This window comes from Homo sapiens, chromosome 2 (assembly GCF_000001405.40).
Source record: "Homo sapiens chromosome 2, GRCh38.p14 Primary Assembly".
In the NCBI taxonomy this organism is placed as follows: Eukaryota; Metazoa; Chordata; class Mammalia; order Primates; family Hominidae; genus Homo; species Homo sapiens.
This window is the reverse complement of record NC_000002.12, coordinates 32946315-32971869: the sequence shown is the minus strand read 5'-3', so window position 1 is coordinate 32971869 and position 25555 is coordinate 32946315. Positions and strand designations below refer to the sequence as shown.

The 25555-nt window shown below is 42.6% G+C and overlaps 1 protein-coding gene across 38 annotated transcripts in view, besides 3 other annotated features; it reads right to left on the bottom strand.

The window, feature by feature from the left end:
- The window catches only part of LTBP1 (latent transforming growth factor beta binding protein 1), a 452557-nt gene extending 427640 nt beyond the window's left edge, over window positions 1-24917 (bottom strand). For all 38 annotated transcript variants that reach the window (XM_011532853.3, XM_011532857.3, XM_011532861.3 and 35 more), the window contains exons 1-2: window positions 24052-24917; window positions 22925-22995 (exon numbers count right to left, since the gene is read on the bottom strand). In XM_011532853.3, the coding sequence (XP_011531155.1) occupies window positions 22925-22995; window positions 24052-24545 (565 nt within the window). In that variant the 5' untranslated portion in view covers window positions 24546-24917. The remainder of the gene's footprint in view (window positions 1-22924; window positions 22996-24051) is intronic.
- Window positions 24104-24153: a silencer, noted in NCBI's record as "silent region_11346". NCBI's record gives its function as "represses an Ori minimal core promoter by ATAC-STARR-seq in GM12878 lymphoblastoid cells {active_cell/tissue: GM12878}" and the evidence as "EXISTENCE:reporter gene assay evidence [ECO:0000049][PMID:35858748]".
- Window positions 24374-24543: a silencer, noted in NCBI's record as "silent region_11345". NCBI's record gives its function as "represses an Ori minimal core promoter by ATAC-STARR-seq in GM12878 lymphoblastoid cells {active_cell/tissue: GM12878}" and the evidence as "EXISTENCE:reporter gene assay evidence [ECO:0000049][PMID:35858748]".
- Window positions 25264-25333: a silencer, noted in NCBI's record as "silent region_11344". NCBI's record gives its function as "represses an Ori minimal core promoter by ATAC-STARR-seq in GM12878 lymphoblastoid cells {active_cell/tissue: GM12878}" and the evidence as "EXISTENCE:reporter gene assay evidence [ECO:0000049][PMID:35858748]".

The following is a 25555-nucleotide window of genomic DNA, read 5'->3' as shown; positions in this document are numbered from 1 at the left end:
CCTACTGAAACTATTCCAAAAAATTGAGAAGGAACTCCTCCCTAACTCATTCTACGAGGCCAGCATCATTCTGATCCCAAAACTTGGCAGAGACACACAAACAGAAACCAAACAAAAAAAGCTTCAGGCCAATATCCTTGATGAACACAGATACAAAATCCTCAACAAAATACTAGCAAACTAAATCCAGCAGCACATCAAAAATTTAATCTACCACAATCAAGTAGGCTTTATCGCTGGGATGTAAGGCTGGTCTTACATTCACACATCAATAAATGTGATCTATCACAAAAAGAGGGGTAAAAACAAAAACCACATGATTATCTCAATAGATGCAGAAAAGGCTTTTGATAACAATCAATATCCTTCATGTTTGAAAAAAACCCTCAATAAACTAGGCATGGAATAATTTTCCTCAAAATAATAAGGGCCATCTACGACAAACCCACAGCCAACATAATCCTGAATGGGCAAAAGCTGGAAGCATACCCTTGAGAACTAGAACAAGACAAGGATGCCCACTCTCATCACTCCTATTCAATATATTACTGGAAGTCTTAGCCAGAGAAATCAGGCAAGAGAAAGAAATAAAAGGCATTCCATTGGAAGAGGGGAAGTCAAACTCTCTCTATTTGCAGACAATATGATTTTATATCTAGAAAACCCCAAAGTTTCTGCCCAAAAACTCCTAGATGTGATAAATAACTTCAACGAAGTTTCAGGATACAGTATCAATATATAACAATCAGAAGCATTTCTATACACCAACAACATCCAAGCTGAGCGCCACATCAAGAATGCAATCCCATTTACAAAAGACAGACAGACACACACACACACACACACACACACACACACACACACACAAATACCTAGGAATACAGCTAACCAGGGAGATAAAAGATCTCTACAACAAGAATTGAAAAACACTGCTGAAAGAAATAACAATTGACACAAACAAATGGAAAAAAAAAATCCATGCTCATGGACAGGAAGAATCAATATTATTAAAATGACCATACTGCCCAAAGCAATTTACAGGTTCAATGCTATTATCAACTAACAATGACATTCTTCATAGAATTAGAAAAAACTATGTTAGAGTTCATATGGAACAAAAAAAAAAGAGCCCAAACAACCAAGGCAATCCTAATCAAAAAGAACAAAGCTGAAGGTATCACATCACCTGACTTGGAACTACACTACAAGGCTACAGTAACCAAAATAGCATGGTACTTTTATAAAAAGACACATAGACCAATGGACCAGAATAGAGAACCCAGACATAAAGCCACACACCGACCACCATCTGATCTTCAACAAAGTCAACAAAAACAAGCAATGGAGAAAAGACTCCTTATTCAATAAATGGTGCCGAGGTAACTAGCTAGCCACATGCAGAAGATTGAAACTGAACCCCTTCCTTACACCATATACAAAAAAATCAACTTAAGATGGACTAAATACTTAAACATAAAACCTAAAACTATAAAAACCCTGGAAGATAACCCTGAAAGATAACATAGGCCCTGGAAAAGATTTCATGACAAAGATGCCAAAGGGAAATGCAACAAAAACAAAAAATGACAAATGGAACCTAATTAAACTAAAGAGCTTCTGCACAGCAAAGGAAACTATCAACACAGTAAACAGACAACTCACAGAATGGAAGAAAATATTTGCAAACTATGCATCTGACAAAGGTCTAGTATCCAGAATTTACAAGGAACTTAAATTAACAAGCAAAACACAAACAATCCCATTAAAGAATGGGCAAAGGAAATGAACAGACATTTTTTTAAAAGAAGATATAAATGCAGCAACAATCATGAAAAATGCTCACCATCATTAATCATTAGAGAAATACAAATCAAAACCACAATGTGATACCATCTTGCACCAGTCAGAATGGCTATTGTTAAAGTCAAAAAATAACAGATGCCAGTGAAGCTGCAGAAAAAAAGGGAATGTTTATACACTGTAGGTGGGAATGTAAATTAGTTCAGCCACTGTGGAAATCAGTTGGCGATCTCTCAAAGAACTTAAAACAGAGCTACCTTTTCACCCAGCAATCCCATTATTGGGTATATACCCAGAATATATATCATTCTAACATAAAGACACATGCATGCATATGTTCATCACAGCACTATTCACGATAGCAAATGCATGGAACCAACCTACATGTCCATCAACAGTAGATTAGATAGGAAAAAATGTGGTATGTATATACCATGGAATATTACACAGCCTTAAAAAAGAATGAGATCATGTCCTTTGCAACAACATGGATGGAGCTGGTGGCCATTATCCTAAGTGAACTAATACAGTAACAGAAAACCAAATACTGCATGTTCTTACTTCCAAGTGGGAGCTAAACATCAAGTACACATGGACATAAAGAAGAGAACAAAAACTGGGCCTACGTGAGGGTGGAGATAGGAAAAAGGTGAGGATCAAAAAACTACCTATTAGGTACTGTGCTTATTCCTCAGGTGATGAAATAATCTGGCACATCAAACCACAACACACAATTTACCTATATAACAAACCTGCACATGTGCCCCTGAAATGAAAATAAAACTTTTTAAATTAAAACACACACACACACACACACACACACACACACACACACACACAAATTGGCCAGGTGCCATGGCTCACACCTGTAATCTCAGCACTTTGGGAGGCCGATGCAGGTGGATCACTTGAGGTCAGGAGTTCCAGACCAGCCTGGCCAACATGGTGAAACCCCATCTCTACTAAAAATACAAAAATTAGCCAGGCATGGTGGCGGGCACCTGTAATCCCAGCTACTTGGGAGGCTGAGGCAGGGGAATTGCTCGAGCCCTGCTTGAGCCCAGGAGGCAGAGGTTGCAGTGAGCCGAGATTGCCCACTGCACTCCAGCCTGGGTGACAGAGCGAGACACCGCCTCAAAAAAAAAAAAAAAATACACACACACACACTAAAGAAAAAAATCAGCCAGGTGTGGTGGCACACACCTACAGTCCCAGCTACTTGGGAGGCTGAGTTGGGAGGATCACTTCAGCCCAGGAGGTGGAGGTTGCAGTGAGATGAGACTGCACCACTGCACACCAGCCTGGGCAACAGAGCAAGACCCTGTCTTAAAAAAAAAAAAAAGGCAGGAAAAAAGAGTAGAAGACAAAAAGAGGAACAAAAAACAAGGGCAATGAATAGAAAACAGTAACAAATACAGTAGCTATTAATCCAACTGTATCAATAATCACTTTAAACATCAATGGTCTCAATACACCCATTAAAAGGCAGAGACTGTCAGAGTGGATCAAAAAAGAAAACCCAACAATATGTTGTCTACAAAAAGCTACTTTCAATATAAAGATTGATATAAATGAAAAGTAAGGGATGAAAAAATAAATATCATGCTAACACTAACCAAAAGAAAGCAGAAATAGCTATGTTAGTTTCACAGAGAGCTGGCGTCAGAGCAAGGAAAATTATCAGGCATAAAGGGGAGCATTACATATAATAAAAGTGTCAATTCTCCAAGAAAACATAACCAATCCTTAATGTGTACGCACCTAATGACAGAGCACCAAATACATAAGGCAAAAACCGATAGATAATCAGGCATGGTGGCTCACGCCTGTAATCCTTACACTTTGGGAGGCCAAGGCAGGCGGATCACCTGATAAGGAGCTCAAGACCAGTATGGCCAACATGGTGAAACTCTATTTCTACCAAAAAATACAAAAATTAGTCAGGCATGGTGGCATCTACCTGTAGTCCCAGCACTCAGAAGGCTGAGGCACAAGAATCACCTGAAACCAGGAGACAGAGGTTGCAGTGAGTAGAGATTGCACCACTGCACTCCACCCTGTCTCAAAAACAAACAAACAAACAAACAAACTGATAGAAATGCAAGGAATAATAGATGAATCCATAATTCATCTATTGAAGTTGGATACTTCAATACTCCTTTATCACAAAATGAACAGATCCAGCATGCAGAAAATCAGTAAGGACATAATTGGAATTCAACGTAACCATCAACTAGCTGAAAATAACTGACATGTATTTACTACTTCATCCAACGACAGCAGAATATACATTTTACTCATGATTACGTAGCACATTCACCAAAACAAACCACATTCTGGGTCATAAAACACATCTTAACAAACTTAAAAGAGTAAAAATCATATAATATCCATTCTCAGGTCACAATGGAATTAAACTAGAAATTTATAACAATAACTGGAAAAATCCCAAAATACTTGGAGATACAGCAACATAATTCTAAACAAAGCATAGGTCAAAGAGGAAATCTCAAGAGAAATTTTAAAATATTTTAGACCTAAATGAAAATTAAAATACAGCTTAATGGAATTTGCAGGATACAGTGAAAGCAGTGTTTAGAGGGAAATTCATAACAATGAATGCATATATTTAAAAATAAGAAAGATCTAAAATTAATAATCTAAGCTTCCACCATGGGAAACTAGAAAAAGAGCAGCAAATTAAATCCAAAGTAAGCAGTGGAAAAGAAATAATGAAAATTAGAGCAGAAATCGATGAAACTGAAAATAGAAAGTAAACAAAAGAAATAAATGAAACCAAAAGCTAGCTCTTTGAAATCATCAATATAATTGATAAGCCTCTAACCAGGCTAACTAAGAAAAAAAGAAGACACAAACTACTAATGTCAGAAATGAAAGCAGGAACATCATTATAGATCCTATGAACGTTAAAGGAATAATAAAGGAATATTATGAATTCTATGCCCACAAATTCAATAATCTAAATGAAATGGATCAATTCCTTAAAAGACATAATCTGCCAAAACCGAGAAATTGAATCAATAATAAATAACCTTTCAAAACAGAAAACAGCAAGCCAGGATGGGTTCAATTCTAGGAAACATTTCAGGGAGAAAGTATACTAATTCTCTAAAATCTCTCTCAGAAGATAGAAGAAGAGAATATACTTCCTAACTCATTCTGAGGCCAGCATCACCCTAATACCAAAATCAGGCAAAGACATTACAGGAACAGGAAACTACAGACAAGTATCTCTCATGAACACAGATACAAAAATCCTCAACAAAATATTAGCAAATTTGAATGCAACAATGAATAAAAACAATTATACACAACCAAATGGGATTTATCCCAGGTATGCAAGTTTGGTCTAACATTCAAATATCAACATAATCCATCACATCAACAACCTAAAGAAGAAAAATCACATGATCATATCAATAGATACAGAAAAAGCATTTCACAAAATCCAACACTCACTTATGATAAGAACTCTCAGTAAACCAGGAATAGAAGGGAATTTCCCTAACTTGACAAAGAACATCTATAAAAAACATACAGCTAACACCATACTTAATGGTGAGCAACTAGTTTTCCTGCTAAGATCATGAATAAGGCAAGAATATTCTCTCTCATCACTCCTTTTCAATAGTACTGGAAGTCCTAGCTAATAAAATAAAACAAGATATAACACCAAAGGCACAATCCATGAAAGAAAGAATTGATAAGCTGGACTTCATTAAAATAAAAAAACTTCTGTCCTGAAAAAGACACTGAGAAGAATGAAAAGACACAGAGTGGAAGAAAATATTTTCAAGAGACACGTCTGATAAAGGACCATTATCCAAAATATGCAAAGAACCTTAAAACTCAACAATAAGGAAACAAACAACTTGATTAAAAAATGGGCAAAAGACCTGAACAAATACCTTACCAAAAAAAGCTCAAGTATCTGAGGCTTATAAAAAGATGTTCAACATCATATGTTATTTATTAGGGAACTGCAAATTACAACAAGATTAAAACCACTACATAACTATTAGAATGGCCAAAATCCAAAACACTGATGACAACAATAAATGCTGATGAGGAAGTGGAACAATAGGAACTCTCATTTGTTGCTGGTGGGACTGCAAAATAGTATAACCATTGTGGAAGACAGTTTCAGTTTCCACTTCTTACCAAACTAAACATACTCTTACTATACAGTTCAGGAATCACACTCCTTGGTATTTACACAAAAGTGTTGAAAACTTACGTCCACACAAAATCCTGTACAAAAATGTTTACAGCAGCTCTATTCATAATTGCCAGAACTTGGAAGTGACAAAGATGTCCTTCAGCAGATGATGGATAAATAAACTATGGTACATCCAGACAATGGAATATTATTCAGTATTAAAAAGACACGTGCTATCAAGCCATGAAAAGACATGGAGGAACTTTAAGTGGCTATTACTAAGTGAAAGAAGCCAATCTGAAAAGACTACCTACAGTATGATCTCAACTATTTGTCATTCTGGAAGAGGCAAAACTATGGAGACAGTAAAAGGATCAGTGGTTGTCAGGGTTTAGACAGGAAGGAGGGATGAGTAGGCAGGGCACAGAGGATTTTTAGGGCAGTGAAACTATTCTCTATGATACTGTAGATGTATGTTATTATATATTTGCCAAAACCCAAGGAATATACAACACCAAGAGTGAACCCTAATATAAACTATGGACATTGGGTGATAATATAGGGGTTCATCGATTGTAACAGGACAGGGACAGGATTTTGATGGTGGGAGAGGTTGTGTGTATGTGGGGTCAAAGGTATATAGGAATTTTGTACTTTCTGTTCAATTTTGCTCTGAACCTAAAACTTCTCTCAAAAGTCTATTTAAATACACTATTTAATAACTCCACTGTCCACTTTGACCATGGAGCTATTGCTTTAATCTGTAACTTTGTCTTCATTATTCTATGGTTTTCCCAACTGAGACTGAAGGAGTAAGGACTAAAGTTTGTTTTTGTTTTTTGTTTTTTTTATTAAGATAGTCTTGCTCTGTCGCCAGGCTGGAGTGCAATGGCGCGATCTCAGCTCACTGCAACCTCCACCTCCCTGGTTCAAGCGATTCTCCTGCCTCAGCCTCCCGAGTAGCTGGGACTACAGGTGCACGCCACCACACCCAGCTAATTTTTATATTTTTAGTAGAGACGGGGTTTCACCATGTTGGCCAGATGATCTCGAGCTCTTGACCTCATGATCCGCCCGCCTCAGCCTCCCAAAGTGCTAGTTTTTTAAGTATTGAAAAATATTTTTGACATTAAAAAATATTTTTGACATAAATTTTTTTTAATGTTACAAATACTTTTTGATTTACTTAGTATTTAGGTAATTCTTCAAATTTGAATTTTCTCAAAATTTTAACACCATTTCTTAGAACTGTGGCCTTTATAAGATATTTAAACATTTGGATGCTTCATCAAAAGTTAACATATTTGGAAATAGCTACATGCTACTGGCACTGGGAAGAAAAAAAAATCTATTTACTTTTAAGGAGGCATAGCTATTACTACAATAACTGATGATTTTAATAAGTTTCCCTTGGGGAAAAAATGCCTTTCTACTTGGAGAGAAACAAGTAATTTTTAAAAGACCTGATTTTTATACAACATTCAAGTGACATGTCTTTGCATTTATTTATTTTGTGGAAAGAAAAGAAAAGATGCATAATGGGGAAAACAGTCCCTATTTCACAGGACAAGCAAACCAGCTCCTTTTTCAGCTCCTTCTACAAAGGGCCCTAGTCTTATAATAGGCAATTCCTTTCCTAAATACACATCTAATAAAAAAAGTGTATCATTGCTGAAATTCTCAACTGGGCTGTTTCCAAACATATGATGCATTCCTCCAGCAACTTCCAGGATGGAGTCAGCATGACCCCAAGGAACAACTGGGCAGCACAGCCCTGTCTCCTCTGCATCTGAGCTTCTTGATCTTGACGCGAGGAAGCACAATCCCTGCCAATTCCAAGAGTATGCTCTAGACAAGAGCTTGTTCTTCATTTCACTTTCAAATTATTTTAGAAACAAGTAATGGCACCTATTTCTAAAATAAAATGTTGCTCCTTCGTTACTTTTATTAATTTTGCAATCTCTTTCTCATCATTCTTCGCTTTTGATATCTTGTATTCCAGCATATGTACTTTAAACTCAGGGCCCTCAAGCTTCAGTGTGGATCAGTCAGATGGGTGCTTGTGAAAATGAGGGCCAAGGGGTCTACTACCAGGGGTTCCAATTTGGTAGGTGTGTGGGAAAGTCCCACAACCTGCATTTGTTACGCATCCCACAGGGGTTCTGTTGTAGGAGGTCCTGGAACCACACCTTGATAAATGTGGCTTTGAAGAATATGAAGAAGTGTGGTTTAGGCATCTTTTATGTTAAGGAACAGAACAGAATTAGGAAGACCTAAAGGTACAAAACACATTTATAGGTATATTCACTGAATGAAAACTGGTTTCTTTGCCACTCCTCAGTGAGCATACAGTATAGAATGTGTATTAATGTGCATGGTGGTCAGGTGCAGTGGCTCACACCTGTAATCCCAGCACTTTGGGAGGCCAAGGTTGGAGAATCACTTGAAGCCAGGAGTTCAAGACCAGCCTGGGCAACACAGCGAGACCTCACCTCTACAAAAAAGTTAAAAAAAAAAAATAGCTGGGCATGGTGGCATGCATCTGTAGTCCTAGCTACTCGGGGGGCTGAGGCACGAGGATCACTTGAGCCCAGGAGTGCAAGATCACAGTGAGCTATGATCACGCCACTACTCTCCAGCCTGGGTTACAGAGTGAGACCTTGTCTCTGAATAACAATTAATAATAACAGTAACAACATACACAGCTACATCTTATCCGATTGCAAGGTTCCCATCTGAAACTGGGGAAAATGATCCATTCCACTGGGCTTTATACCATATAAACTCATCCTTAGGCAGAAATGAAGGGGGAAAGGGTAAATGAAGCCTCTACTCTCAAGGCCTGGAGCCCAAAAGAGCTGATTTCCCTGTCCCCCTCATCACACCACAAGTGATCACAGTAGGGTGGGGGGATGTGGAAAGGGAGGAGGAGATGGGTTCTGCTAGAGCAGTGGTTCTCAAGCCACAGCTGTATCAGGATCCCCAAGAGGCCTGGTTAAAACACAGATGGCTGGCCCCATCCCAGAGCTCCTGGTTTAACAGGGCTGGAGAGTTTGCATTTCTAACAAGTTCCCAGGCGGAGCTGACGCCCCATTCCAGGGTCTATACTTTGAGAGCCACGAGGCTAAGTGTCTGTGAGGTGCCATTCAAGCACTCTGTATTAAAGGAAGAAATGGGGAAATTTTGCCAGAGAAAAGAGCCTTTAACACTCAAAACAAAGCATTCCAAACTTACACAGGGACATTTGTTGTAATATACATTCTCGTAAAACAAAAAGAACCATTTAATAACATAATCTCAGTATTCATTGATTTAAATGGATTTCAGCTGGTCTTCCACTCGAAACAAACGTAACTTGCAATGCTTACTAATCAAGAAACCTTACTGAGGGTCTATTGTATATAAAGAGAACCGCTGTGTAGGCCAATCTCCTAAATGGATGAAAAAGTAAAACAAAAACAGTCTCTACCTTTAATTTACTTATTGTCTGTATTATTTCACCTTCAATTACTATGAAATTTTGGACTAACTTAACATAACCTTTTCACTATCTCAAAATAAAAGAAACAGGGCTCTCTTGAAAGAATTCTTGTCTTTGCACGAACCCTACTTTTAGGAGAATAAAATAAATTCCAGGGAGGGTAGAATTAAAGTGGAGATGTAGGTGTTTTTGTTTATTTTCAAACCAACTTCTAGGAGGTGTACCAGAGACATTGTTGGTAAACTCGATGGTCAATATAAACATCAGAGACACCAATTCTTTAGTTACCAAAAACTCATTGAAAATGGGTACATTTTATGCATTCCATTTTTCAAGACAAGAAATGCACCAACACATTATTAAAAAAAGTGTACAAACTGGTCATAAAAACCTTATTAATAAGGTCACCTTATGTTTATATGGCCCTTCTGTGAAGCATTGAAGGATTTTTTTTTTTTTTTTTGAGACGGAGTTTCACTATTGTTGCCCAGGCTGGAGTGCAATGGCACAATCTTGATTCACTGCAACCTCCACCTCCTGGTTCAAGTGATTCCCCTGCCTCAACCTCCCAAGTATCTGGGATTACCGGCGCCCACCACCACGCCCGGCTAATTTTTGTATTTTTAGTAGAGACGGGGTTTCACTATGTTGGCCAGTCTGGTCTCGAACTCCTGACCTCAGGTGATCCGCCAGCCTCAGCCTCCCAAAGTGCTGGGATTACAGGCATGAGCCACCACACCCGGCCCCTTTTGTGAAGCACTGTGATGAGCCTCATTTGACTTGATCTTTACCACAAAATGGCAGGCGGAGTCAATGACTAATTCAACGTGTAAATTAGATGTTGAGGTGGGGGGGATGAACAAAACCTCAGAAGAGCATACAAATGTTCCAAAAATATTTAACTTCCACTTTAACACATCCTATCAGCTCTCTGTAGATTTTCTATGATCATCAAAATAAAATTTTTAATCAATTTTTAAAGGATTGAACATTTTTTTAAATTTAGTACCATGTAAGGATCCCCATTAATTTGACTTTTAACACAATAGTGACCAGTGACTTGGCTTTCTTCACCCTCACACTTTCATCCTAAACCGCAGCCTCGCAGCTCCCTGCTGAGGGTCTTGCCTTTCCACGAGAGCTCGGCAGAGACCCGGAGGTCCAGTCAGCACAAGGCTGGTCTGGCAATCTGGGCACCAGGCAGGTGGTCAGGCTATGAGAATAATTTGTGTGTGGACTTGGGTACTTCACTGTTCCACGTGCAGTTTTTCTCATCAATAAAAAATAGCAATCAAAGTGATCTAATGAATTTTCTACGTAAGATATTTTTCCATGCCTTAAAAAATACTAAATCCTTTATTTTCTTTAATTTCTTAGTAATAAAATACACTTGCATGCACTCGTGTTTTATAGTACTTGTGTTGACTGTGCTTGTGTTGTACAGTCCCCTCTTGTTATCTTATCTGTGGCCTCACACAGCCTAGAAGACTTGACTTGGGATCCAACCCTATCTTATATCACCTATTACAGCAGCCCTCACTGACAACCCAACGATAATGACCTATGTTCCCACAACAAGCCAGGCCTATCCCCACTCCAAGGCCTTTGTGCTAGCCATTCTGTTGGCCTAAAATACTCTTCTCTCAGACCCTTTCATATCACACAGGCCTCACATGTCACTTCCTATAGAGACTTTCTTTTAGCCCTCTCCCCACCTCCAGTTCCAGCTCCTGTCACTCTCTAGCCTGTGACCCTGTTTTAGTTTTTTCAAGTACATGGTACTTGGGGATCTAAAATTAGAGGGAAAAAAAATCATACAACATTCATTTTACTTAGTCCCAAATCTCTATCAGATGATGATATTGAGCAGAAAGATTCTAAAATTGGCAGGGAGAAAGAAAAAGTCATCTTAACACCTTCCGTGTACCAAAACCTACTATATAGGAGCTTGGTGAAAGTACAACAAATCAATCCATTCATTCATTCATTCATTCATTCATTCATTCATTCCATAAAGGTGTACATGCTTACCAGGTACTGAAGACAAAAAGATGGCTATAGTATAATCCCTACCCTCATAGAGCTCACATTCAAGCAGCAATGCCAGACAATACATAAATGTCTGTGATGCAATGTGACAAGCATTCAGAGCAAAGAGGATGTGTATGCCTGACATTCACAACAACATGAATGAAGTTGTGTGATGAGGGTACTCTTCCCGTCTGAAGGTTGAGAAAAGTCTCAGAGGAGTTCATTAATCTGCTTGAAGTTTCACAGCCAATGAAGAGGCAGGAGTATCCTCACCCTTGAATCATTGTAGTAAATGATTTATGAAGGTGAAGTGATAAGTCTCGGCTCATTTAAATAGCTTTTACAATAATCATATTTTGAAGATGCTAAGTGTTAACTGTCTACTCGCTATGGTGTGAACATGAAATGCATATGGGAGGATGGAGACTCTACATTTTAATTAAAAATAGCAATAATAGGGTGGGTGTAGTGGCTCACACCTGTAATCCCAGTACTCTGGGAGACCAAGGCAGGTAGATTACCTGAGGTCAGGAGTTCAAGACCAGCCTGGCCAAAGTGGTGAAACCCCATCTCTACTAAAAATATAAAAATTAGCCAGGTGTGGTGGCAGATGCCTGTAATCCCAGCTACTCGGGTGGCTGAGGCAGAAGAATCGCTGGAACCCAAGAGGCGGAGGCTGCCGTGAGCTGAGATCACGCCACTGCACTAGAGCCTGGGCGACAAAGCAAGACTCCATCTCAAAAAAAAAAAAAAAAATATATATATATATATATATATATACACGTACATATATATACATATACATACACACACACACACACACACACATATATATACAGCAATAATAAAATGAAGTTCATGAAAGATTAAAAGCCACATTGGAATTGTCTGGTAATTCTACAAAGAAATAAAAACATGTTTAAATTTACAAAGACAAAAGATCCTTATCCTTCTATTTTCCTTACTTTATTATCATATTTTCCATTGGTGGCTTCTTACTGGTAGCATGCTATCTCCTCTATAAAAATTCCCTCTAACTGCATTATCTAAATCCCTCCGAAGAGTCGCCTCCAGCCACTCGGTTTTCACCTCTAAATAACTGATCTCATCAGTTCAGTAAAGTTGGCCACATCAACTTCGGATAGCAACACCTTCCTCCAATTCATCTTCCCATCCACTGACCAAATTCATCTTTCCTTTGGCCCAGCAGAACCAAGAGCATGCATTAAAAAACCAGCCCATCCATCTTCTAGTTTACAAAACACAACATTTTCAAACTGTTTACTTATGTCCATGCCAACAATATTACTCAAATGTGGTGGAGTAAAAAAGCCACAGGGAATAGTGTAGTTGGCCAAGAGCAGTATTTGGGGATCTAAAATTACAGGGAAAATCATACAACATTCATTTTACTTAGTCCCAAATCTCTATCAGATGATGATGTTGAACAGAAAGATTCTAAAATTGGCAAGGAGAAAGGAAAAGTCATCTCAAAGTTTGGGCCATGCCAGAGCAGCCTTACAGAGCAAAGGCAGGAGGAAACAGAGTAAGGTGTTGTGCCCTTGAAAAAGCTGTCACAATCAGCAGTGTCTGCTGGGCAAGGAAAAGTACAGAGAGAAAAAGCAGGAAAGAAAAACAAGTGGAAATTATTGCCAAAAGGTGAGAGTAAACAAAGAAAAGAAAAAGAATTCTTTCTATAGTATTTAGAGGACAGCATTAGCAACATCGCAAAATCAGAAATGCTACTTCGACTCAACTCCATTCTATTCCTAGGTAGCATTTGTACTGTGGCACTTGTACTGTGGCAAAGCAAGGGACCTGCTTCCCAGGAGCTCAACGCTGATGAAGGGACAGATGCCTCTTCTACCTGGCTCAGCCATACCCAGAGCCAACTAAGAGTGAAATCAGAGTGCTTAGGGAGCATCAAATAGAATCTGCTTAGGGAGCACCAAACAGGATCAGCCCCCAAGGATCTTAGAAGAGGGGCATGGAAGAAGCAGTGGTACCCAGGAGGAAGTGGTCCTGAGCAGACAAATGAAAGGTGCTGAGAGCTCATTTTTGTCAATTACTGTGCAGGGGCCCTGCTCTCTATGCGTTTTTAATGTATTACCTAATGCAGCCCCGTAGCAAGCCCCTGGATGATGACAGAGACCATCATTATTCCTATTTTGTGAATGGAGTTAACTTAGCCCTGCTTCAGGTCTCAAGCTTGACTGTCCGAGATTACACAGTGAGAAAGTATTAAGGTCAATTAGGAGCTCCGTATTCTAATTCCAAAGACTGAACTTCCAACCACTGAGCCATACTGCCTGTCATTCAGGACAAACCAAACTGAGACCAAGTAAGGGGAGGAAGAGGAGAAAGGCAACAAAAGCAGGTAAGATAGAAGGGAGAGGAGAGGAGTAAGCAGTGGCACTTCCTTCTTATAACCACACAGTCTTGGGGTCTCGATGGCAATGTATGCACAGAATTGCAGTATCCAATGGACTGTGTCTACATGACGTGCTCAATCCGTAACAGGCAGGAAAAATTAACAGACACACATCAGTATATGCATGTACAGGCAGACCTCATTTTATTTTGCTTCACTTTACTGCACTTCACAAACACTGTGTTTCTTACAAATGGAAGGTTTGTAACAACCTTGCATGCAGCAAGTCTACTGGCAATATTTTCCCAACAGCAAGTGCTCACTTTCTGTCTCTGTGTCACATTCTGGAAATTCTCGTAATATTTCACACTTTTTCATTATTAATGTGTCTGTTACAGTGATATGTGATCGGTGATCTTTCATGTTACCATTGTAATTGTTTTGGGGCACCACAAATCATACCCAATATAAGACAGAAAACTTAACTGAGAAATGTTGTGTGTGTTCTGACTGCTCCACCGACCAGCCGTTCCCTCATCTCTCTCCCTTTCCCTGGGCTTCCCTATTACCTGAGACACAACAATATTGAAATCAGGCTAATTAATAACCCTACAATGGCCTCTAAGGGCTCAAGTGAACGGAAGACTCACAGATCTCTCACTTTAAATAAAAAGCTAAGTGAGGAAGGCATGTAGAAAGCCAAGATAGGCCAAGAGCTAGACCTCTTACACCAGCTAGCCAAGTTGTGAATGCAAAGAAAAAGTTCTTGAAGAAAACTGAGGAGAAGTCAATTCCTGGCCTCAATGTTTCAAAGGATGGGCTGACTCTCCTTTTAGGAGCTAACACAGCTGGTGACTTTAAGTTGAAGCCAAAGCTAATTTACCAATCTAAAAATCTCAGGGCCCTTAAGAATTATGCTAAATCTGCTTCGCCTGTGCTCTGTAAATGGAACAACAAAGACTGGATGACAGTCTGTGTGTTTACAGCATGGTTAACTGAATGTTTTAACCCCACTGTTGAGACCTATTGCTCAGAAAGGTTCTTTTCAAAATATTACTCCTCACTGACTATGCACCTGGTCACCTGTAAGCTGTGATGGAGATGTACGTGGAGATTAACGTCATTTTCATGCCTGCTAAAATATCATCCATTCTGTAGTCCATGGGTCAAAGAGTAATTTCAACTTTCAAGTCTTCTTGTTTGAGAAATACATTTCATAAGGCTATAGCTGTCATAGATAGTGATTCCTCTGATGGATTTGGGCAAAGTAAATCGAAAACCTTCTGGAAAGGATTCACCATTCTAGATGCCATTAAGAACATTCATGATTTACGGGAGGAGATTAAAGTATCCACATTAACAGGAGTTTGGAAGAAGCTGATTCCAGCCCTCATGGATGACTTGGAGGAGTTCAAGACTTCAGTGGAGGAAGTCACTGCAGAGGTAGTGGAAATAGCAAGAGAATTAAAAGTGGAGCCTGAAGATGGGACTGAATTGCTGCAATCTCATGTTCGAACTTGAAGAGATGAGGAGCTGCTTCTTATGAATGAGCAAAGAAGGTGGTTTCTTGAGATGGAATCTACTCCTGGCGAAGATGCTGTGAGCATTGTTGAAATGACAACAAAGAATTTATAATTTTATATAAACATAGATGATAAGGCAGCAGTAGCGTTTGAGAAGACCGACTCCAGTTTTGAAAGAAGTTATACAGTAGGTCAAATGCTATCAAACAGCACTGTATGCTACAGAGAAAGCTTTCACGAAAGGAAGAGTCAATTAGTGCAGCAAACTTCATCATTTTCTTATTTTAAAGAAAGTGTCACAGCCACCCCAACTTTCAGCAACCAGCCATATCAAGGCAAGACCTTCCACTAGCAAAAAGATAATGACTCACTCAAGGCTGACTTGATCATTCCATTTTTTAGTAACAAAATATTTTTAATTAAGGTATACACTTGCCTTTTTAGACATAATGCTATTATTGTACACTTAATAGTCTACAATATAGTATATAAACATGAGTTTTACATGTACTGGGAAACCAAAAAATTTGTGACTCACTTTATTGAGATATTTGCTGGAACTGAACCCTCCATATCTGAGGTATGCTTGCAAATACAACCCTGATGTATTTTTCCATAAGTACGAAAACAACCAATTTGTGTCACACCAACAAATTATGTAATATTTTCTCTCCACTAAGAAAGCAGGAAACCATTAGTAAAACACGCATTTACAGAAAGATAAGACCATAGTTTCTCCTTTATGTATAAATCATTGTACTTAACTACCACATCAGGGAGCTTTTAAAAACATGACCCTGATGGGCAGCTTCTATGTTTGTGTGTACTTTAAAAATTTTGTAATTAAAAAAAATTTGTGGAAAAAAACACCCAAATGTTCCAAAAAATCTTTTTTAAAAGGCACTCTATGTAATCACTGATGCAGCAACAATTTTGCAAATTTCCAGCTCTCGCAAAAATATACATGTATATAACTTTAAAAATTTTGTAATTAAAAAAAATTAGTGGAAGAAAACACCCAACTGTTCCAAAGTGTTTAAATCTTTTTTAAAAGGCACTCTACATAATCACTGATGCAGCAACAATTTTGCAAATTTCCAGCTCTCCCAAAAATACACATATATACTTCAAACATTCAACTAACTAAAGAAAAACTGGATGTAAAAACTGCATGTGCAGCAATCTTTGACTGTATATACATTCTTCAAATCCGAGCTATCCCAATGTTTAGAGGGTTCCTGCCTTGCTTGAGAGGTTTCTCTAAATTGCTAAGCGTTGAGGTTGGCCTTTAAATTCCCACATAAAGGGTCATAAATATTGCCCAGGACTGAGTTCCTTCCAGATCAGTTTCTCAAACTGTGGGCCACCTCCATCAGCATGATTTGGGATGCTTGTTAAAAACCCCAAAGATTTTGATTCAATTTGTTGAATTTAACAACTTTCAACATTTTAACAAACCCTTCCAGTGGTCCCGCTGGACATTCATGTGTAAGAAACACCAACCTAGAATCTCTTTAAAAGAGCCCCAGTAAAAATGGCCAGAGGCATCACCAAAATTACCTGTGGCCAATTCCTCATCTCTCCTAACACCCCCTGGAGCAGCCAGAGCTGCTGCAGTAGAAAAGTAACCAAATTAGATCCACAGTCACAGATTGTGTGGCAGGGGCCCAGTCAAAGCCCCGCCCACCCATCCTTGGGTCAGCTGCTAGGGTTCCCAAGTGCCCCAGGAATGAGCCAACTCTGAATAGCCCATCTCTCCAACCTATGTGCAAGGCATCTGCAGGCTTACATCATGAATTGAATTGTACTCCCCCTAGAAAAAAAAAAACAAAGTGTTGAAGTCCTAACCCCAAGTACCTCAGAATGTGACCACTGTTGGAGATAGGTTCTTTACAGAGGTAATCAAGGTAAAATGGGATCATTGGTGGGGGGGGGCGGGGAGTGGAGGCCCTAATACAGTATGACTGATGTCCTTATAAAAAGGGGAAATTTGGACACAGAGACAGACACACACACAAGACAATGTATAAAGACACAGGGAAGAGACGGCCATCTACAGGCCAAGGAGAGAGGCCTAGAACTGCCTTCAGAAGGAAGTAACGCTATCAACACCTTGACATTGGACTTCTGGACTGCAGAACTGTGAGACAATACATTTCTATCGTTCTAAGTCACCCAGCTTGTGGAACTTGTTACAGAAGCCCGAGAAAACTCACATAGCTTGGAAAATCATGATGTGAAGTTAGGCAGTGGAAGCCAATCCAGATAACTGAGGACTGTCAGGACAGTTTTCAGACCAAGACCTCAAGAAAGAATGTCACAGCACTGGATGTCCAGGAAGCCCAGGGCAGTAGGAAGAGCCACAAGATCTGCAGTGGCATCTGAGCACTGCCCCACTGTCTGGAATAGGGTTAATAAAGCATCCCTGCCTCAATGACACTACAGGGTGTGAAGATCAAGAAAATGCTCTCTGTAAGCTCCACAGCACCACACAAGTTACCCCCACCCCATCGGCAGCTCCTCTCTGCTGGACCTGATTTTGGTCCGTATTAAAAGGGTGGTGACATAGCCCTCACACTCCAAGTCGCCTCTGTTCATTGCTAGGAAGGACTGGGAAGCAAAATCTGCACTTTAGGAAAATTTAATTTGAGCTCTCGAACATGTTTGAGTACGTCTGAAATATCCAAGACAACAAATAACAGGGTCAGAAACAGCAAAACCCTGTGGTTGTCAAAGGTCTTTTCAACAAGTCAGGCTTCCTAAGGGCCCAGGGTTCACTGGGCAGCAAAAACTTCGATAAAGCAGAGCAGGCAGGGGGCGGGCGGCATCCTCAGCAGGCCCATGGGCCGGAGGAGGGCTTCATCATGAAGGTTTAAGCACTATTACAGTGTTATGGTTCCTAAATGTGGATTTTAACTAGTCTCGAGAACACATATTTGACCTAGTGTGAACTTGACCTCTGGGTTCCTCTCTCTTCACCGAGGTTGTCTGTGTCACATGACAAGATTCTCCAGCTGACCCTCCCACATGGGGGCCGGGGTGGCCCTCCTAGCAGTTGTCATGGTAAACCTCACTGCAGATCTATTGGCAAAGCAGCTGCCAATGGCCATAGCAGGCATACAAAAAAATATATAATCACTCTGGGCTCGACTCCCAAGTTTGGCAAGCACGATGCCAAGCCAAGAGGGATGGGGGACAGCCTGAGACCGTTCTCTAGGTCACCTGAACTCCAGCCACATCACACCCTCCTGGATGATGCCATCCACCACTGCATCTCTGAGCACCAAGGGTGCATGTGACTCTGTCTCCTTTGCATATAATTTAAGGAAAATGTCTAGAGTTGGGTTTTTTCCCCAAAAGTAGCATGGGCTGAATGCCAATGGAAAAGCAATGGAATATCGATTTTCTGTTTCTTTCTAAGGAGAGAACAAGTCATTTGATGTGCCACGAGTTAAGTGAGTAAAAACAGACCTGCACTCCCTACAGCTGGCTGTGTTTCTCCTCTATTCATAGAACCTGGCACATGGTAAAAGCTAAACAGTAAATGAAAGAACCATCCATGCGTGTATGGAAGGCCTGCAATGTGCCAGGCACCCGCTTTGGATTCGTATCTGCCATCATCTCTCTTCCCTCTACCCCATAACCCTGCCAGCCCAGCCTCACTCTCCTCTCTTTCATTCTTTTGTATTGCCTATTCCCGTGTCCAGTCTTCTCATTAAAGCTGAGCCTACCGGCAATGTCTCTGTCTGGCCTGCACTTACCCTGAGACGGGGGCAAAAAGACTGGCAGAACCAATGCAGGGCATGGGGGGAGGTTCAGTTTGGGCGCAGAAAAAAAAAACTACAAAAATGATAGGAGGCAAAAATGTTACACATCAGGGGTTTAATGCCCCACTTGGAAGACAAAGTCCCTAACCCACAAAACATTCCTTTAAGTGTTAATTCCTTGGAAAGAGCACAAATGTGGTCCATCTCTCCATCTCTTTTGTCCAAAACAGGTAAGGCTATCAAGAGTCATCCAATATTAACTAAAATGACACATCCCACACGATAATTTCGATTCCTAGGGATCCACATACAAATGGTGTCTGGAAAAGGAACATTAACATGCAACCAGGCATCTCTACATTGTGACTGGGCAGCTACAGCCTAGAGGACCACTTTGGTGAGTGCACATATCCATTCTTTGCCCTTGTGTGAGTCTGCCGCTTGCTTGTTCACATCTCTCTGATTTGCAATTTAAGGTTCACTAAATCTTTAGTCTTCAGAAGCATTTGATCATGGTCCATTTAAATTAGGTTTCAATCAACTAAAAACAATCCAGGCTTTCTCAAAGGGATACCTTATTTTCTTCACTGGATTAGGCAAATACTGAACAACATGAACACTTCCAACCTCTTACACAGAAATTTTTTTCGCATCAATTGCACATGACCTATATAAACTCAAATTCTTCATTATCTTCAACATGTAATGACAATTAGAAGACATCCTGGGTTATACATTTAAATGTCCATGCATATTTTATGATGACTATTATAAGGGGGAACTTCATGTGGGCGTATCATTGGTTTTTGTATTCTTATGTGTAATAAACCATACCCAAGTGTAATTGTTCAATCTCCGCATAATAAGGAAGTGAGAGGAGGAAACCACAAACAGAAGAAAACCAAATCATCGACAAAGGAGATAGAATTTACTTGGCTTGATCCAATACTAATCTCTAATATTAATCTTTCTGGTTTCACCAAGGCTTTCATACCCATTTTTTTTCATCTTAATACCTGCAACCATCCTATAAAGAAGGCAAGATTTTAGCACAGTCATTTCTGAGTGGGAAAATACAGGCCAGACAGGTCAAGTGAACTCCCTGAGGCCACACAGCTAGTGAGGGCTGCAGCATTTGAATTTAGGTCTTCTGACCCCAAAGCCGGGGGTCTTTCCTGGCATCACACTACTCAGCCATGGACACAAGGTTTATAGCATCAGCAGGAGCCCCAGTGGTCCCATCTGAAGGTAGAAGGCTCTCTCAGCTCCCTGGATCTCCCAGACACATGCAAAGTAAGTCCCCTCTTTTAAATATCCACCTCAGAGATACATTATTTTGGATCGCACGCTGACCTACCCCAGCATGCCTTTTAAAAACATAATTATTTCTGAAGAGAGCTGTGAATTAAGTTTCTAGCATTTGTACCTAAATTCATTTGTTAAACTGGGAAGTACAGGAAGGTTAATCTTCTGAATGCTGAAAACCACAGAAAAGGAAAGTGATGTCACATTGCTTAGATGCTGGTACTGTCCAAGGGCTACCTCTTAGAAGCCAGCAGGAAAACTTAAGCCAAATGCTGGAAGCATTGGTTGTAGGTACCGTAAGATTAAACCAACATAGCAACTTCCTCTAGAGCCCTGTAAGTAACTTCAACACTGATTTTTCTGACCAGCAGTCTTCTGTGATCTCTCTCTGGATTACCAGGGGGCAAACCCAGCTAAACCTAGGCACCCACTTCTTTGCCTCTCTTGCCTGCAGAAGCAGGAAGCCATGAAGAGATTCCCCAAGATTTGGAACATCTTGGGATCTTCTAGAACATCTTTGGATCCCCGAATTCCCCAAGCAACCTGAAAATGGGGGCCTATCCTCTTTTCAGAGACAGCACTCAATTGCATCATTTGCCAAGCAAACTTATTAAAGCCTTTGAGCATTCTCTCCAACAGGCATCAAGGAGCTTCTGCCTATCTGTAAAATCCTGCTCTGAATTCTTTTCTTTTCTTGAGATGGAGTCTCTCTGCATCGCCCAGCACAATCTCTGCTCACTGCAATCTCCCCTACCCAGGTACAGGCAATTCTCTTGACTCAGACTCCTGAGTAGCCAGGATTACAATTACAGGCATGCACCACCATGTCTGGGTAATTTTTTTTTTTTTTTTTTTTTGAGACAGAGTCATTGTCACCCAGGCTGGAGTGCAGTGGAGCGATCTCGGCTCACTGCAACCTTCACCTCCTGGGTTCAAGCAATTCTCCTGCCTTAGCCTCCCCAGTAGCTGGGATTACAGGCACACAACACCACACCTGGCTAATTTTTTTGTATTTTTAGTAGAGATGGGGTTTTGCCATGCTGCCCAGGCTGGTCTCGAACTCCTGGCCTCAAGTGATCCACCCACCTTGGCCTCCCAAAGTGCTGGGATTACAGGCATGAGTCACCGCACCAGGCCCTATTCCGTATTTTTAACCTTTACTCAGCAATATCCCATTGCAGTGGTGCTGTTAACAGACGAGTTATCTCCATGTTACAGGCAAACCATATCATAGCAGGTTTTGGACAGAATGAGTTACTGAGGGGAGAGGGGACATGTCATTTGGCCTGAGCAATGCTAAATTCTAAACAAATGCTAACACATTTCTGACAAGTATAATTTAAGAAGTTACAAAATGAAAAATTATGACTTAATCTAAAATGCCTAGAACCCTGAGCATTTCTGATCTAGTGGTTTGAGTTCAATAGTCAGAAGACTGTTCATGTCTGCAATTACTGCTTGATCATAACACATCATAAAACCTGTGGACATTTCCCTTTTTACAAAAGTAAGGCCATTATGCCAAAACCCTTCTGTTTCCTTCAGGATTGAAGACATTTTCAACAAACAAGGTCACCAGATTGACTGTATCCAAAATTTTTAAAATTCATCCACCTGTATTTTAAAATCCAAGCAGCAGAAATTTTGGACAATTCCAATCCACATGGGAATGCCTCAATCTCTATGCAAAGAACAACTAAGAATGCTTCACTTTTTCTGAGGGGGAAGGTAAGGCTCCTTTATGTCCAATGAGCACCCGATAGCATCAATTCGTCAAGAAGAACCTCAAAATACATTTTAATCTGATCTTTAATTTCACAATGCATAGGAGAAAAATTTTCCAGTGTTCTGAAATCTGTATGCATCATTAACACATTTTTTAAAAAACACTGCTGGGCATGCATGTGAACTGCAGAAGCACTGCAGAGAACCCCATCCATCAGTTCTGAAGAGCAGCAGAGAAGTGCATTCTAGAAAACCATCAGGCCTCAAGGATGAAGGATTCTGGTTGCTGTTTTCAGGAAGCTATAAAAACTTTGATGTTGTACTCCAGAACAGGGCCCTCTACTCCCCAAGCCCCTCCTGCCATCACCGTAAAGAATGTCTTTCATTTGTTGGTATCATGTTCAAATTAATTACATTGGTTCTGCCATATGGCATATCCTCAAATGGAAATTTTTTTCCTAGCTCCTGATTCACAGATGTGCCAGAATGATGAATATCTCTGTTGAGTTCAGAGAAGTCTTGGATGCACAGCACGGTTCTGTACAATGTATTGCTGCTGGCATTGATACTAACATTACCCTGACCCAGCCCTTCCTAGGTGGTAATGAAGCCTGGGTGGATTGTATTTCAGACTTCAACTTCCCCCGAGCCCTTTCAAGTGGCCCTTGTGAGATGCCCCCATGTGGACACCTCCCCCCACTTTGCCTACTGTGCAGGGCCACTGTGAACATGGCAACTTACGTTTGGTGCACCTCTGGGAGCCAGGGGCCTTACTCCAGCCATGACAGCACCGCCCTCCACAGACATTGACCCTGAAACAAAGCAAGATCGCTGAGTCCAGCAGCAGAAAGACCCCCTTCCCAAGAACCCAAGCTTCCAGCATGTTCCAGAAAGGCCAGCCTCCAGCTTCTGCAACCCTCTGGATGAGAGAGAGTCCTAACAGGTACCCTGGATGCCCAACCCAAAGCTGCCCAAGCAGAGGGGCAAGGCCCATACATATATCAGGGAATGCTGGGAGAACCAAAAAGCCTGCATAAACCTAGGGCTATACAGGAAGGGAGAACAGGGCCCAACAAATGGTTTTCTTACCCCCAAATTACAGTAGAGCCAAATTTATTTTTTCTATTATCTGGGCCAACATTTTAAATTGGAAATGAGTTTCAGAGAGAACTGTCCAAAAAGGAGTGAGGGCACATGGCCTGGAATCACCCCTGAAAAAAACATGCCAACTAAGCAAAACAAGTTTTCCCCTACACCCCAACCTGAGATGAATTCCCACAACGGGAAGGCACTATGAGCGCCCAGTAACAGAAACATTCCAACCAAAACTTTTATCAATACCAAGACACCCCACCCCAGGAAAGCAGACCCCACAGGTGCAGCGAAGTCCAAGCCCATGATTTCTCTGATGCTGCAAAGTTCCAGGCCACAGAACAGGAGCTGGATCTTTACGGCTAGCCCGCCCTCGAAACATTTTTTTCATTAGCTAGACCAAAATTAAAACTCAGTTGCAGAGTTTAATTGATGCTGAGGGATTAAACTGTAGTGACCTCAAGTTTACGCCCATCTTCTAGAAGCAGTTGGGTTTGCGCGCAGAAGGTTACGCCCCAGGCAGAAATGCCTTTTGTGTTTACCCGCAGCTCGGTAACAATGCACTCGGAGTTTCACGTCAGTAAAAGTTCCTGGGCTTCCCCGCACTCCCCTCTTCCCGCGGCGCCCAGAGCAGGCGGAGGCGGGAGGAGAAAGCCGACCCACCGCGCGCGACCGCCCTGGCCACCGCGGGGCTCCGAGTGGCCCTGACCCCGCAGGTCCCTCCGCGGGCGGTGCGCGCGAGGCGGGCGGGCGGGCGGAAGGGGGTGTGGGCTTACCCCTGCAGCTGCTGCTTCTGGTGAACCTGCAGCCTAGAGCCTCCGCCGCTCTGGGTCTCCTGCGGCACCTTGGAGCGCACAACTTGCCTGCCTTGTTTGGTGAACGGGGCGGCTGCCGGGTGGCCGCCGGGATTGGGGTGGAGCTGCCCGCCGGGGACCGCGGGACGCGCAGGCTCCGGCGGCGGCGGCGGCGGCGGTCTGAGCCCCTGCAGGGCCGCGCCGCCCGGCTTGCTCGTGCGCCGGGTCCTCTCCGAGGGGACCCCGGGGGAGGCACGGCTGGGGGCGCCGGCAGCCGCCGAGCTGCGGCTGTACCTGGCGTTGAGCGCGACGTTGAATGTCCGCGAACGCGGGGGCCCGCTCAGGGGCAAGGCGCCGGCTGCCAGGCCGGGGCCCGGGTGCACCACGTAGGTGATCCTCCGCAGCCGGCCGTGCGCCGAGGACGCGAGGAGCCCTGCCCAGAGCAGGAGCCCCCACCTGAGCCAGGCCCCCGCCATCGCGGGCCCCAGCGGGCGCGACCGGTCGCGCGCGGTCCGGCCCCCTCCCCCGGCCGTGCGGCTCGCCTTTCCCCGCGCGTTCGGGCTCCCCCGAGAGCTGCCGAGAGCCCGGGAAAGGCGGGAGGAGACCAAGTCGGTGGCGAGGGAGGAGGCTCTGCGGGCAGCTGAGCGGCCCCAGACCCCGGCCGATTGTGGCTGGGAGCAGGAGGAGGGCGTGGGGGTGGGGAGCGCGGAGCCCGGGGAGCGGGGAGGGGCGAGGGGAGCGGGCCGCGCAAGGTGAGGGTCCGCGCGTCCGGCCGGGGGTTGCAGCGCGCGCCGCAGCGGGGCCCGGCGAGGGTGGCCGAGAGCGAGCGAGAGCGCGCGGGACACTCCGAGGCAGCCCCGGCGGCGAAGTCTTTTAAAAGTTTCTCTCCCGTGGCCCCGAGTGTCAGACCTGAGCAGCCAATCTCCGGCAGACGTGACGTCAGGCGGCAGATCCTAATTGGGGAAGGCGTGCGAGGAGCCCGAAGGCGCGCCGCCACCCTCCACATCCACTGGGGTTGCCCCCGTGGGTCGCCGAGGCGGAGGTCCCCACGCCCCGGTCCCGTGTCCCGGGAGAGGACAAAGCGCTCAGCAAAGTTACTGAACGATCCTGTCCTTTCAGAAGCCCCATGCGTTTGATATTGTTTGGAAGCCCCGGCATTTTCTTATCCGTGTTTGCTGTGATACTTGCTGCGGGGTTGAATTCAGATACCAAATCGGGCCCCAGAAAGGGCTGTCGGGGCGCGCTGAGGTCTCCATCGGAAACCGTTTAGGTGGCTCCCTGTGGGGCTGTAAAGTCCCCGTGGCTGCTTCTCGGTGTGCAGCCTCTGGTACCCTACTTCTCGCTTGGCAGGGATGGGAGTGCAGGGCGGGCAGCAGAGGGCGCCCGCGTGGGACGGGGAGAACCGCCCAGGGACAACCGCAGAGACAGCCCTGTCCCTGGGCCTTTAGGGTAGGACTAGAGTTCAGGATCCCTGAAAACCCTAAGC